Source organism: Homo sapiens, chromosome 20, assembly GCF_000001405.40.
Source record: "Homo sapiens chromosome 20, GRCh38.p14 Primary Assembly".
Classification (NCBI taxonomy): Eukaryota; Metazoa; Chordata; class Mammalia; order Primates; family Hominidae; genus Homo; species Homo sapiens.
In genome coordinates, this window is record NC_000020.11 from 5,771,883 (window position 1) to 5,786,975 (window position 15,093).

Below are 15,093 nucleotides of genomic sequence, written 5' to 3' on the forward strand. Positions count from 1 at the left end.
TTTTTTTTTGAGATGGAGGTTTGCTCTTGTTGCCCAGGCTGGAGTGCAATAGCACGGTCTCCGCTCACTGCAACCTCCGCTTCGCAAGTTCAAGGGATTCTCTTGCCTCTGACTCCCAAGTAGCTGGGATTACAGGCACCCACCACCAAGCCTGGCTAAATTTTTGTATTTGTAGTAGAGACAGGGTTTCACCATGTTGGCCAGGCTGGTCTTGAACTCCTGACCTCAGGTGATCCACCCACCTCAGCCTCCCAAAGTGCTGGGATTACAGGTATGAGCCAGTGTGCCTGGCCAACTTTTACCTTTTTGCCTAAAGAAAGTATTTTGTGGCCTATCTTTGGCATATCTGACTTGCTGGCATCACTACTCTTGTGTTTTGGGGCCATTAATAAGTAAAATAAGGGTTACTTGAACACAAGCACTGTGATACCACAACAGTCCATCTGGTAACTGAAAAGGCTACTGAATGACTAAGGGGCAGGTAGCATGTACAGTTCAGATACGCTGGACAGGGGTAATTAATGTCCCAGGTGGGATGGAGTGGGACAGCATGAGATTTCATTACAATACTCAGAATGGTGCACAATTTGAAATTTATGAATTGTTTATTTCTGGAGTTTTCCATGTAATATTTTTGAACCACAGTTGGGTGAGATCAACTGAAACTGCAGAGAGCAAAATCGCACATAAGGGGGGACTACTGTAAATCATTCTGATTTCACTGTTGTTTGACCTTTAAAATTTTTTGGGTGGGTATGGTGGCTCACACCTATAATCCCATCACTTTGGGAGGCTGAGGTGGGAGGATTGCTTGAGCCCAGGAGTTCAAGACCAGCCTGGGCAACTTAGTGAGACCTGATCTCTACAAAAATAAAAATAAAAATAAAAAACAAATAAAATTCTTCAAGCTCTGTCTCCAATGAAGGATCCTGCTATGTGGTGCCTTTTGTACTGAATTGTTTTCTTTTTTCCATGGCAGGACTATGGCAGCCAGGGACGCCACTTCAGGCAGCCTGTCAGAGGAGAGCAGTGCTTTGGACCTGCCATCAGCGTGTGACATAAGAGATTACGTCCTGCAGGGACCCAGCCAAGAAGCCAACAGCGAGGCTTTCAGTTCTTTGGAATTCCATTCTTTTCCTTATTCTTCTGATGTGGATCCAGGTAATAAGCAGAGTTTAAAACAAACTAACTTAAAAACAACTAGCAGCAATACGGGTGTGTGATAGTTTGTTTCTCTCTCTTCCAATAGCAGATCTCTGAGAATGCTTCATTGTCTTAGGCAGAAAAACATCTTACCTAAGCAAAGCTTTCAGGAGGAACTTCAAAGGACAGCTTACCTGGCACAGCAATGACAAGGAGCTGTTTCCTGGATGTCTTTTTGTTATTGTTGCTGTTAATCTCAGGTCTCTTTCTAATCTCCCTCAAAATGAATTCAGAAGCAGGGGAATATTTGGTTCAACAAAGAGAGAGTGGAATTTTTTTTTGTTTTGTTCTTTTAAAACTTCAGAAAATAGCAATGTGGGCCTGTTATGTGTGATGAGTAATAAAAATAGAGACTTTAGCATTCCTTGTATGAAGTATGCTGTGGATTTAAGTAACAACCTTTCTACAAGGTTTCCTGACTAGATTGCCGAAACATCTATTATTTAAACTAATGATAATTCCCTGATGTAGGTAGTGGCCGTCTTTAGTGGTAAAGCCCTCTCTTTCATATTAATTACCTGATCTGAGTCTGGAGGCCCGCAGACCTGGATTTATTTATTTATTCATTTATTTCTTGTTAGTTTTGGTTAATCCCCTGGGTTTATCACACAGACCTGGATTTAAAGTTCAGCTCTGCCACTTGCTGGCTATGTGACTTGGGGCGTGTTCCTTAACCCCTCTGAGCTCCAGAGTCGTCTACAAAATGGTGATCAGAATGCTTGCTCCACCCAGTCAGGTTTAGCTTAAGGTAAACCTGTAAGATACTTAGCATGGTTTTTCTGCCATCGATGGGTGCTCAGTCAATGTTGTTGTCGTTAATATTAAGAAATCCAAATGGCCGGGTGTGGTAGCTCACACCTGTAATCCTAACACTTTGGGAGGCCGAGGCGGGTGGATCACCTAAGGTCAGGAGTTCAAGACCAGCCTGGCCAACATGGTGAAACCCTGTCTCTACTAAAAATACAAAAATTAGCCAGGTGTGGTGGCGGGCGCCTGTAATACCAGCTACTCGGGAGGCTGAAGCAGGAGAATCGCTTGAACCCGGAAGGTGGAGGTTGCAGTGAGCTGAGATCGTGCCACTTCACTCCAGTCTGAGCGAAAGAGCAAAACTCTGTCTCAAAACAAAAAACAAAAAACAAACAACAACAAAAAACAAATCCAAATATATATTTTTAGAAAGAACTCATTGTGGGTACTAAGCAAATGTAGGCTTTAATGATGATGAATTCAGTGATGACTACAGGTAGGATGTGTAACTGTCATTGCCTTCAAGAATTCTATGGAGAAATATGTTTGGGATTCTCTGCTGATTTTCAGGACACAGAGTAATCAGGATCAGTAAGTCTCCTGTTTAATTTAGTACCTGACTGTGTTAGTTCATTCTCACACTGCTATAAAGAGATACCTGAGACTGGGTAATTTATAGAGAAAAGAGGTTTAATTGGCTCACAGTTCTGCAGGCTGTACGGGAAGCATAGAAGCACCTGCTAGGCATCAATCAGGGCGGAAGGCAAAGGGGAAGCTGGCACTTCACATGGCTGAAGCAGGAGGAAGAAAGAGAGGGGGAAGGTGCTACACACTTTTAAACAACCAGATCTCATGGGAACTCAGCACCAAGGGGATGGTGCTGTAAACCAATTAGGAGGAACTGCCCCATGAACCAATCACCTCCCACCAGGCCCCACTTCCAACACTGGGGATGACAATTCCACATGACATTTCGGCAGGGACACAAATCCAAACCATATCACTGACCAAGAATTAGATAATTCTTTATCCTTTTCCTTTCTAGACTTAACATCTTAGTTCCTTTAACCTTCCCTTTTTTCCCTGCCATCCTGCTGCCTCTACATGACTTTCCATCCCTAAAACTGATTTTGTTCATCATCCCTGGGTAGCAACAGCATTTCTTAGAATGAGTGAATGGAGGCAGTTGAACAGAACTTTGTTTGTGTATGTATTTATTTATTTAGAGACAGGGTTTTGCTCTGTGCCTAGGCTGGAATACTGTGGTGCCATCATAGCTCACTGCAGCCTTGAACTCCTGAGCTGAAGCTATCCTCCTGCCTCAGCCTCCCAAGTAGCTGGGATTACAGGCTCACATCACCATACATGGCTTTTTTTTTTTTAATTTTTTTGTAGAGACAGGGTCTTGCTGTGTTGCCCAGGCAAGTCTCGAACTCTTGGCCTCAAGTGATCCTCCCACCATGGCCTCCCAAAGTGCTGGGATAATGGGAGTGAGCAACCATATCCAGTTTGAACAGAACTTTAGAAGTATTAGCATGTTGAAATACTTCAAGGCAATGGCTCTATTCCCTTAGGGAATTCAGTGTGGACTCAGTTTTTACTTTTTATTGCCTGTTAGTTGACTAATCTGTAGAAAAGCAACTGTTATTAATTGGAATTGGTTGACAGCTCTAAAAATAAGGAGCATGTTGAAATATTTATGTAGGGGTATTTGTTAAAAATATGGATATTCTATGCCAAAAAGGTTGTTTGGGGAACCCATGTCTAAACATGGGAAGGGGTACTCAAACGCTAAGACAACCATTTTACACGGTAGTAGTGGTGGTCGTGCTGGATTAGACAGCCTGGTTGGAATTCTGGTTCTGCTTCTTCCCCTGGTTTGACTTTGGGCGAGCCACTTAGCCCCTCTGTACCTGTCTCCTTATTTGTAAAATGGAGATGATAACAGCACCTCCTTGTTGGGGAGGTTATAAGGTTGTACAAGGTAGTGCATGAGGCATAGTGTGTGGCAGGGAGTGGACTCTCAGGAGATCCAATTCCTCATCAGCTGGGGTGCTTAGCACACTGCAGTACTGCCTGGTCAGCTCAGGATTTTTTTTTTTTTTTTTTTTTTGAGATGGAGTCTCGCTCTGTCACCCAGGCTAGAGCACAGTGGCGTGATCTTGGCTCACTGCAACCTCCACCTCCCAGGTTCAAGCAATTCTCCTGTCTCAGCCTCCCAAGTAGCTGGAATTACAGGTGAGCGCAACCACACCTGGCTAATTTTTGTGTTTTTAGTAGAGACGGGGTTCACCATGTTGGCCAGGCTGGTCTTGAACTCCTGACCTCAAGTGATCCACCCGCTGTGGTCATCCCAGGCATGAGCCACTGCTCTGGGATTACAGGCGTGAGCCACTGCGCCCAGCCAGCTCAGGCTTTTATCACAAATACCATACACTGGGTGGCTTCTCACAGCTCCAGAGGCTGGAAAGTCTAAGGTCAAGGTGCCAGCAGATTTGGTGTCTGGTGCTGTCCCTGTTCTTGATTTGTAGACAGCCACCGTCTTCCTGTGTCCTCATATGGCCTAGAGAGAGAGCCTCTTTCTCATGTCTCTTATAAGGGCACTAATGCCATCATGAGGCTTCCACCCTCAAAACTTAATTACCTCTAGCTGGGCACAGTGGCTCATGCCTGTAATCCCAGCACTTTGGGAGGCCGAGGCGGGTGCATCGCCTGAGGTCAGGGGTTCTAGACCAGCCTGGCCAACATGGTAAAACCCTGTCTCTAATAAAAATACAAAAATTAGCCGGGCGTGGTGGCAGGCGCCTGTAATCCCAGATACTCGGGGGCCTGAGGCAGGAGAATCACTTGAACCCAGGAGGTGGAGGTTGTAGTGAGCCAAGACCGCACCATTGCACTCCAGCCCCGGCAACAGAGCAAGACTCCGACTCAAAAATAATAATAATAATAAATAAGTAAGCATAAAAAAAAAGCATTCACATTGGTTTACTCATCCTACCCCATGGAAGGCTCTGGGTGTGATAATTGCTCTCTGCATACTCCACACTGCAGTGTTTTAGGGCACATTAATAGTGATCACTCCCATTTATTGAGCATTTACTACCTGTCAGGTTTTATACTGTCAGGCTCCATGCTAAATATTTCACAAACATCATCACTTTTTTTTTTTCTTTTCAAGACAGAGTCTCACTCTGTTGCCCAGGCTGAGTGCAGTGGCACAATCTCGGCTCACTGCAACCTCCACCTCCCTGGTTAAAGCAATTCTCCTGCCTCAGCCTCCTGAGTAGCTGGGATTACAGGCGTGCACCACCATGCCCAGCTAATATTTATATTTTTAGTAGAGATGAGGTTTCACCATGTTGGCAAGGCTGGTCTTGAACTCCTGACCTCAAGTGATCCACCTGCCTCAGCCTCCCAAAGTGTTGGGATTACAGGTGTGAGCCACCACACCCAGCCCAAACATCACCACTTTTAATTCTTATCACATACCTGAGAAGTGGAAATCATTCCCATTTAATAAGTGAGGAAACAAACTTGGAAAAGTTAGGAAACTTTCCCAGTGTCACTTAGCAAATGACAGAGCTGACTGAATCCAAAGGAAATGTTTCACTTTTTTTTTCTTTTTCGAGGTATGATCCTGCTTTGTTGCCCAGGCTGAAGTGCAGTATTGTGGTTCCCCTGGACTCAAGCAATCTTCCCTTCTCAGCCTCTGAAGTAGTTAAGACTATAGGCGTGTGTTATCCTGCCTAGCTAATTAAAAAAAATTTTATTTTTTTTTTTTGTTTAGAGATGAGATCTCACTATGTTGCCCAGGCTGGTCTTGAACTCCTGGGCCCAAGCGATCCTCCCGCCTCAACCTCTCAGTGTTGGGATTACAGGCATGAGCCACCACACCCAGCTAAAATCACATTGTTATTGGAAGAAAAAGAAAGCTTTTTCTAACCTGGGAAGTGACCAAGAGGATGATACCACTGAGACAAGGAACTGCTGCAAATAAATTTAGGCAAGTTTTGTTAACTTGATAGAACAAACACTTTGGAGAGGTGGAAGGAGTTTTAGGGAGGAATATTAACTTTTTGATACTATTTTATTCAAACTTAAACATTTTAAAACAATTTTTATTTTGCTGTGCACTCTGCAATTCTGTAGTACTTTTATATGTTTTGCCACAATACCCACTAGGTTTGTTTTTAAAAAGGACCAGGGCTGTGAGTGGTGGCTCATGCCTGTTATCTGGCATATCTGGTATATTATGAGGCTGAGGCAGGAGGATCCCTTTTTCTTTTTTTTTTTTTTTTTTTTGAGACAGAGTCTCGTTCTGTCGCCCAGGCTGGAGTGCAGTGGCGCGATCTCGGCTCACTGCAAGCTCCGCCTCCTGGGTTCACGCCATTCTCCTGCGTCAGCCTCCCAAGTAGCTAGGACTACAGGTGCCCACCACCATGCCTGGCTAGTTTTTTTTTTTTTTTTTGTATTTTTAGTAGAGATGAGGTTTCACCGTGTTAGCCAGGATGGTCTCGATCTCCTGACCTTGTGATCCGCTTGAGAGGATCCCTTGAGTTCAGGAGTTTGAGACCAGCCTGGACAACGTAGCAAAACCCTGTCTCTACTAAAAAAAAATTTAAAAATTAGCCGGGTGTGGTGGTACACACCTGTGGTTCCAGCTACTCTGGAGGCTGAGGTGGGAGAATCACTTGAGCCTGGGAGGTGGAGGTTGCAGTGAGCCATGATCGTGCTACTGCACCCCAACCTGGGCGACAGAGCAAGACCTTGTCAAAAAAAAAAAAAAAAATAAGGACCAGATCACCCAGAGCTTCCCAAGAACTAAGTGAGAATGGTATCTTTCAGCCATGACAGGAGCAGGGAATACACTAGAATCAAATGGAAGCCCAGCCGTTCTGTTATTTAATAACACCATCTCTAGTAGATCACCCTAAGCAGAAATAAACGTGCTCAGGTTTATCTATCACAAAGAGAACTTCATTTTAACATCACTAGGAGACTTTTACACAGCATGGAAGGCTGTTGATTTTTCTGTAAACATTCCAGAGCTACCTTTTGTGAGAAATTATCTACAAAAGTCAGTTAGGAGGCCAGATGCAGTGGCTCATGCCTGTAATCCCAGCACTTTGGGAGGGCGAAGCAGGTGTATCGCTTGAGGCCAGAAATTCAAGACCAGCCTGGACAACATGGTGAAATCTCATCTCTACTAAAAATACAAAAATCAGCCAGGCATGGTGGTGGGCACCTGTAATCCCAGCTACTGGGAGGCTGAGGCATGAGAATCACTTGAACCTGGGAGGTGGAGGCTGCAGTGAGCCAAGATGACACTACTGCACTCTAGTCTGGGCAACAGAGTGAGACTCTGTCTAAAAAAAAAAAAAAAAGTCAGTTAGGAGAGGTTATCACTGGTAATCTTGCTGTTACCAAGCAATGAACTTGAGGTGACAGCCTTAAACTCTGAAGGAGGTCACTGCCCTAACAGCCCAACCTGGTTTACTCCGACCTAACCATTTTCCACCTTAAGTTTCAGAATTGTCCAGGGGCCTGGGTTTTTCATTTATAAGTTGAGTCCATTTTCTTTTCCATGCCTCTTGTTCATAGGTAGCTGTAGTTACGGGTTCTCTCCCCATGGCCCTTCAGGAGGCTCTTGCCGACATTTTAATCTAATTCTGATGACTCTGGATCTATTGTTTGCTCAGAGACATGCCCACCTTTACACTAATCTCTACTGGGCCACCATTCTATCTCAGATTCTTAACACCTCCAGTTCCCAAGCCAGTTTGATGTTCTCTCTTGCTTACTTGCTGTTATGTGTTGTAAGGAAGTTGATCTTCCAGGGATTGGGAAATATAGCCAAGGTTTCCAGTTGGAGGGTCATTCAGGGTGACTCACCATTGGTCTCTGCCCATCCTGGTATTTACTCAGTGAGGCACACACTGTTGGCTACCTTCATGTAGCTTGTGCTTGGCTCAAAATAGAGTTGACTATCTCAAGAACTGGCAGAGTATGGCAGGTTGCTTACAGCTGAATGGGGGGTCTAAGGGTGAACTTGGGACCTGGCTCCCCCAGCTACTGGGTGAAATAGAGCCAAGCTTTGGTCATTAGGATTCATTAACTTGGCATAGTTTTTACAATTTCTGTTTTTTTTTTTTTTTTTTTTTTTGGAGACAGAGTCTTGCTCTGTCACCCAGGCTGGAGTGCAGTGGTGCAATCTCAGCTCACTGCAACCTCTGCTTCCCAGGCTCAAGTGATTCTCATGCCTCAGCCTCCCTAGTAGCTGGGATTACAGGGGTGCACCACCACACCCAGCTAATTTTTGTATTTTTAGTGGAGACAAGGTTTTGCCATGTTGGCCAGTCTGGTCTCAAACTCCTGGCCTCAAGTGATTTGCCCACCTCAGCCTCCCAAAGTGCTGAATTACAGGTGTGAGCCAGTGCACCCGGCTTGACTGTAAGAGTTCAGTCATATCATCTGTTATCAAATTCTTCAGTCAAAATCCAGACACAGAGTTGGCAAGGGGTTGGGGTTCACAGTGGAGGCGTGGCGTAGTCTTCTGGTGGCACAGCACAGCCCAGCAACAGGCACGCTGGAGAGAATACCCAGAAATCCAGGCAGGTGGCAGGCAGTGTGCAGGTGCCTTCTCAGTGAGTAGCAAGGTCCCAGCTTCCAGGTTGGAGTCAGTGTCACAGTTCTAACCCCTGGAAGAGTAGTAGGCCAAGGAAGGGTGACCTTAGATTTAGGATATAGCAAGGACCGCTGCAAAACCCAGTTACAAGAACATGGGCCCAGGCTTAGGCTTAACTTGTGTAAAGGATTCCCCATTTCACCTTGCAGCTGCCCCTGACCATGGGCCTATCCCTGCCCTGCTTTTCCCAGCCAGGCTTTTTGAAGGGGCTGCCTGCCTTCCTCCTCACTTCTTCATCTCAGGATTGCTCCTCATTCCCAGGCACATGGCCTCTACCTCCATTCCCCTCTGGACTAAGCCTGCCCTTACTCAGATGCCAATGATCTTCCCTAGGAGCCAAACTGGATGGACGCTTCTCTGTCCTTTTGCTATGTGCCCAACTGCCGCATCACTGTTCATACTCTGGAGGAGCAAATTAGTAGCAAGGACATGAGACTTAAGAGCACTTTCCAGAAAACTACTGGGCTGATAAGAATCTGAGAGTGTTAGAAAAACCTCAAAAGCCTTAGTCATTCCAGTATGAGTATGTAAAGATGGGTAAAACTAGGCTATATATGTCTAATAAAGACACAGTCCATCTGGCCTGAAGTTCCCACCCAGCCACTCCTCATGAAATGATGGTAAAATAAACAACTTTTCACTTAAAGCAGGTGCAGGATTATAAAATCCTCCCCTCAGCCCTTCCTAGTGAGATATGGCAGAAGACCTGCTACTGCCAAACAGGGCTTCCTGAGAGCGAGTGCAGAGGCTCATGCCTATAATCCCAGCACTTTGGGAGGTCAAGGTGGGAGGATTGCTTGAGCCCAGGAGTTCGAGGCTACAGTGAGCTATGATTGTACCACTGCACTCTAGCCTGCGGGACAGAGTGAGACCCTCTTTCTAAAGAAAGAAAAATATAGAGTGTTCCTGGAACACCTTTTCCATAACATTCTTCTGTTTAGGTCCCTTTGAGATGTCATATTACACTACTTTTGTCTTTAGACTGAGTCTCGCTCTGTTGTCCAGGCTGGAGTGCAATGGTGCAATCTCGGCTCCCTGCAACCTCCGCCTCCTGGGTTCAAGCGATTCTCCTGCCTCAGCCTCCTGAGTAGCTGGGATTACAGGCACCCACCACCCTGCCCAGCTATTTTTTTGTATTTTTAGTAGAGACAGGGTTTCACCATGTTGGCCAGGCTGGTCTTGAACTCCTGACCTCAAGTCATCCGTCCACCTTGGCCTCCCGAAGTGTTCGGATTACAGGTGTGAGCTACCACACCCGGCCAATCTTACACTACTTCTTTCCTTCCAGCTCCAATCAAAAAGCTCCTCTGCCTTGTTTTCGGGACTCTGTGTAATCTGCTGCCTGGAATATTTGTTCAAAATATTTAATAACCAATACAGCAGTATTGCAATATTTCAACAACCGGCACGACTGTACAGGTGCACACGAGCTGAATAGAGGCCCCTGCTGCTGTCCAACTGCACATTAACACAGGCCTGCCAGTCCTGTCGGGCTTGCTTTTAGGCTGAGCCAACTGTTAATGTCTTAGCTGCATTGTTCCCCTCTCTGGAATGTGCCCCCTCCTCCCTGGTCAACTCCAGTCCACTCCAGAGATGGCTGAATTGAATCCATTAATTAGTCCCAGGTACAGACTTGCTGCTGGACTTGAACACCCTGTCTGTTAGATACTTGTTTTCTTTCTCGTTTGCTGCTTGGCTCAAGGGAAGCACAGAGTATACAGAATGGAAGAGCGGAGTTAAGAAACAGATGATCTTGGTTAAACCTCTCAAAAGCAAGATCACAAAGGTCACCCGAAGGCCCAGTCCCACATGTACTGCTAGAGCTTGATAAACTCTGGGTAGCTCATGTGGCGTATCTCACCTGCACCCTCTGGAACCTTTGTCCTGGAGAGCATCCAAGGTACTTTCTAATATAGGACAAGGAGTTTTCTCTGAAGTCGTTGTTAGACATTAACAATACAGATGTAGGAAATATCAGCCCTTTCCTCAAACTTGAACTTCTGCCTAAGAGCAGTGTCGGGGAAATTGGTTGCATGTAGACAGCAAATTGAATGTTAAACACAATAAGTCTTTGATGATTAAAGGCCATAGCTGGCAGGCAGTTATAAGTTTAAAGTAAATAGTGATTTAATGCACCTTTAGTCTTATTCTGGGAATCTGTCAACATCCCACTCTTCAAAGCCCATTTTGTAACTTGTGTATTTAGGCATTTCATCCAAGGAATTTAGTATTTAAGAGTAAAAAAAAGTTTGTTGTCTTCCTCTCTATAATTCATATTTCTTTGGAATTCTATAAAATTTTATTTCCAAAAGGAATGAATTATAAGCTCTTAGATAAAAAAACTCAAAATAAAATTTATATACTAGTTGTCAAATTCTTGATGTGTTGTTGTAGTTTTAAAATAGGAGTCAGGGTATATTTTAGATATATACATAAAATGCTAAAGACATTTTATAGTTGCATTAAGTGATATCCAACCTAGTGGCTAATACCCAGTCACTAGACCAAACCTGAGATACAGAGAGTATGGAGAGGAAAGGAAAGAAGGGAACAATGGTTATTGAACCAATTCTCTGAGAAATAACTGAGGACACAATTGGGTACATTTTATCAGATACCAAGTAGATGGGCTTTATTTGGAAGGTTTGGGTATTCTGTGTGGCAGTGCTTCTCTGCTTTTGTTGCCTCTTCCTAGATTTGGGGTTTTTGTTGTTGTTGTTGTTTTGAGACAGAGTCTCACTCCATCACCCAGGCTGGAGTGCAGTGGCAAGGTCTCGGCTCACTGCGACCTCCGCCTCCCAGTTTCAAGGATTCTCCTGCCTCAGCCTCCCGAGTAGCTGGCACTACAGGAGCCCGCCACCACACCCGGCTAATTTTTGTATTTTTAGTAGAGACAAGGTTTCACCATGTTGGCCAGGCTGGTCTCAAACCCCTGACCTCAGTTGATCCACCTACCTTGGCCTCCCAAAGTGCTGGGATTATAGGCGAGAGCCACCATGCCCAGCCTCCTAGATTGAGTTATGCAGATTCAGCTATCTAGACTGGATTTTCAGCTCCAGAATCGGATTTTGAGCTCTTTGCATGCTGCTGTTAGAAGGCAGCAGTGAATTTTAATTGTATGGCCTGAGGCGTGAAGGATAAACCATAAGTGTATATGACTGAGGCTCACAGAGTTAGAGAAGGTTACAGTCTCCGAGCTGGTGGTTCCTCACAGCTCTTTAGGAACTACAAGTTTGAGATTGAGTGGGGTCATGAGCTTGTGGGGCCCTGGATGCTCTACCTTATGCATCCAGGCAGGCATTCATCCAAAGAAAGGGTGCCAGAACCAGGAGGAGTTCGAAAACCACTAAGCGGCCGGGTGCGGTGGCTCACGCCTGTAATCCCAGCACTTTGGGAGGCCGAGGCTGGTGGATCACTTGAAGCCAGGAGTTTGAGACCAGCCTGGTCAACATGGCAAAACGCCGTCTCTACTAAAAATACAAAAATTAGCCAGGTTGGTGGTGTGAGCCTGTAATTCCAGCTACTCAGGAGGCTGAGGCAGGAGAATTGCTTGAACCCGGGAGGCGGAGGTTGCAGTGAGCCGAGATGGCGCCACGGGCACTCCAGCCTGGGCGACAAAGTGAGACTGTCTTAAAAAAAAAAAAAAGAAAAAAGAAAACCACAGAGCCCAGCTAATCCTCTCATTTTCCACATGGGGAAGTTGAATCCCAGGATAATGAAGAAAATCACCCAAGGCCATGTAGTAACCTGGCAACTCCTATTTTCTGGGTGACCCTCTGTGCAGACTAACTGTAACTTCTCTATCCCTTCTTTAAAACTAAAAAAGTATAGTTCTCTATAACTTTCGATATGTACTGCTAAATTATGTGTCACATTAAATAGTCACTGGAGAGGATAATAATAGAATTATTTTATTTATTTATTTATTTTTAATTTTTTTTATTTTATTTTTGAGTTGGAGTCTCCTCTGCTGTCCAGGCTGGAGTGCAGTGGCGCGATCTCGGCTCACTGCAAGCTCCGCCTCCCGGGTTCACGCCATTCTCCTGCCTCAGCCTCCCGAGTAGCTGGGACTACAGGCGCCCGCCACCACGCCCGGCTAATTTTTTATATTTTTAGTAGAGACGGGGTTTCACCGTGTTAGCCAGGTTGGTCTCGATCGCCTGACCTTGTGATCCGCCCGCCTCAGCCTCCCAAAGTGCTGGGATTACAGGCGTGAGCCACCGCGCCCGGCCCAGAATTATTTTTAAAAGCTCAAGAATGTTATTTGCCACCTGTGACATCTCTCGTTGTTCCTCACTCTTAAGTTTCAAGGGCACGTGCTATGGGGGAAGAGGCTTATTTACTTCTGTGTACTTTGCCTGCAGTCACAGTTTTAAAAAGAAATCCCAACTGAGTTGAAAAACTGGCCATGTTACTGTCTCAAGCCACACCTCCGGGGCACTTATCTGCCGAGTCCAGGTGCACAGCAGTGTGACCTCATGTTCTGGCCTGATAGCTCCTCTCAAGGGCTTCTTCAAGTAAGCATTCATCTGACTTTTTACTCAGCTATGTCTTCTTAAAATACAAGGAAACAACTTGATTACAATAGTCAATCCCAAAGACCGTAGGCCATAAGACCCCCATTTCAAACAGACACCGTCACTAGTTTCATTCATTGTTATGTATTTATGAGATAAAGGCTATACACAAGGGAAGACCAAAAGATGGCTGGTTTTTCCATTTGTTGTGCACTTACATTTCAGGCACTGTGCTATGCATTTCACACACGTTGTTCTTTTGATTCTCACAGCCACACCCAAGAAGTAAATCCTATTATGATCTCCTTGTTACTCATGAGGAAACAGTTTTAGAGAGGCTCGTTTCATATTAATGTTACCCACAGACTGGTGGAAATCTGAGACTCAAACCTGGGTCAGGTTGACTGCAAAGGCAGACCTTTAAAGAAATGCAGACATCTAGGTATGATTACATACTATGCATTAAGAATTAAGCTTTAGGCCAGGCACGATGTCTCACGCCTGTAATCCCAGCACTTTGGGAGGCCAAAGTGGGCGGATCACCTGAGGTCAGGAGTTCGAGACCAGCCTGGCCAACACAGTGAAACCCCGTCTCTACTAAAAATACAAAAATTAGCTGGGCATGGTGGTACACGCCTGTAGTCTCAGCTACTCGGGAGGCTGAGACAGGAGAATTGCTTGAACCCGGGAGACAGAGGTTGCAGTGAGCCGAGACTGTGCCACTGCACTCCAGCCTGGGTAACAGAGTAAGACTCCGTCTCCAAAAAAAAAAAAAAAAAGCTTTAAATATGCAGTTACTTCTTTAAGTCTGAGCTAGCATCTTTCTACTAAGTCAGTATCTTCAAGCCGATATTGGTACCCTGTCAGGGTGACTGTGACTCCTGGTCCACTGGACCAGCATTGTGTCCACTCTTCACTGTGCTCTCCTTTCCATTTCTCCCATCTTCCTGTTGTGGAAGAAGCTTGAACTACTTGTGCACTAATTGGAGAGAAGGTGTTGGGGCTCAGAAAGCAGTACCCCAAAATGAAGGTCTCTGCAGCAGCCTCAGAAGCAAAAGTTTTCCTTTGACCTTTGTCTGCCCTCTTGTCTGAGTCTCATTCTCCACCCAAGGCCAGCCATAGAAGCTAGAATCCCTCTTCCCCAAGGTGGGTCATAGAAACCAGAACCCCCTTTCTCCAAACCAGCCATAGAACCTAAAAATATTACTCTAATTTTCCCTCTGCCTTTCTGGGTAAAACTTGGCCATAAAGAAATTATCTGGCTGGGTGCAGTGGCTCACCCTTGTGATCCCAGCACTTTGGGAAGCCGAGACGGGAGGTTCGCTTGAAGCCAGGAGTTCGAGACCAGCCTGGCCAACATAGCAAGACCTCGCCTCTACAAATAAAATAAATTAACTGGGCATGGTAGCATGCACCTACAGTCCCAGGTACTTAGGAGGCTGAGGTGGGAGGATTGCTTGAGCGCAGGAGGTTGGGGCTACAGTAAGCTACAGTCGTGCCACTGCACTTTAACCTGAGTGACAGAATGAGACCTCATCTCTTTTAAATTAAAAAAAAAAAGAAAAGAAAAATTATCTGACCTACTTTGTTTGACTGTAGGTGATAAGACCCCCATTTCAGAGAAGGTCCTGTCCCATGCCCTGAAGGAAGGAGCGCTGCTCAGAGAGGCCAAGAAGAATCTAGACAGACAGGCCTTGCTGGGCTCCCCACTGAATCTATTAACATTAGATCTTACCTTTTTTGTTCAATCATATTTCTACACTTTGATTCCCCTTTCCCAGTGCCTCCCATCTGCCCCAGTGAATATGGGCAGGGAAGGGGAATCTCTGCCCCAGGAAGACAAAAAGGCTTCTCAAGCCAGATCATTTGATCATTTGTTGAATTGGCAGGATCCTCTCATGTGTGCCTCCTGACCACACTGCTATTTCTGCTGTTGTAGAA

The 15,093-nt window shown here is 45.4% G+C and overlaps 1 protein-coding gene across 10 annotated transcripts in view; it reads left to right on the forward strand.

Moving 5' to 3' along the window:
* Positions 1–15,093, forward strand: part of SHLD1 (shieldin complex subunit 1) — a 114,203-nt gene that overhangs the window by 21,690 nt on the left and 77,420 nt on the right. For 6 of the 10 annotated variants that reach the window (XM_011529177.3, XM_047439931.1, NM_001303477.2 and 3 more), the window contains one exon: positions 980–1,161. In XM_011529177.3, the coding sequence (XP_011527479.1) occupies positions 980–1,161 (182 nt within the window). Of the gene's footprint in view, positions 1–979; positions 1,162–1,249; positions 1,562–4,334; positions 4,663–15,093 lie in introns of those variants that run through there. The other 4 variants (XM_011529180.3, NM_001303479.2, XM_011529182.3 and 1 more) reach the window with 3 other exon arrangements.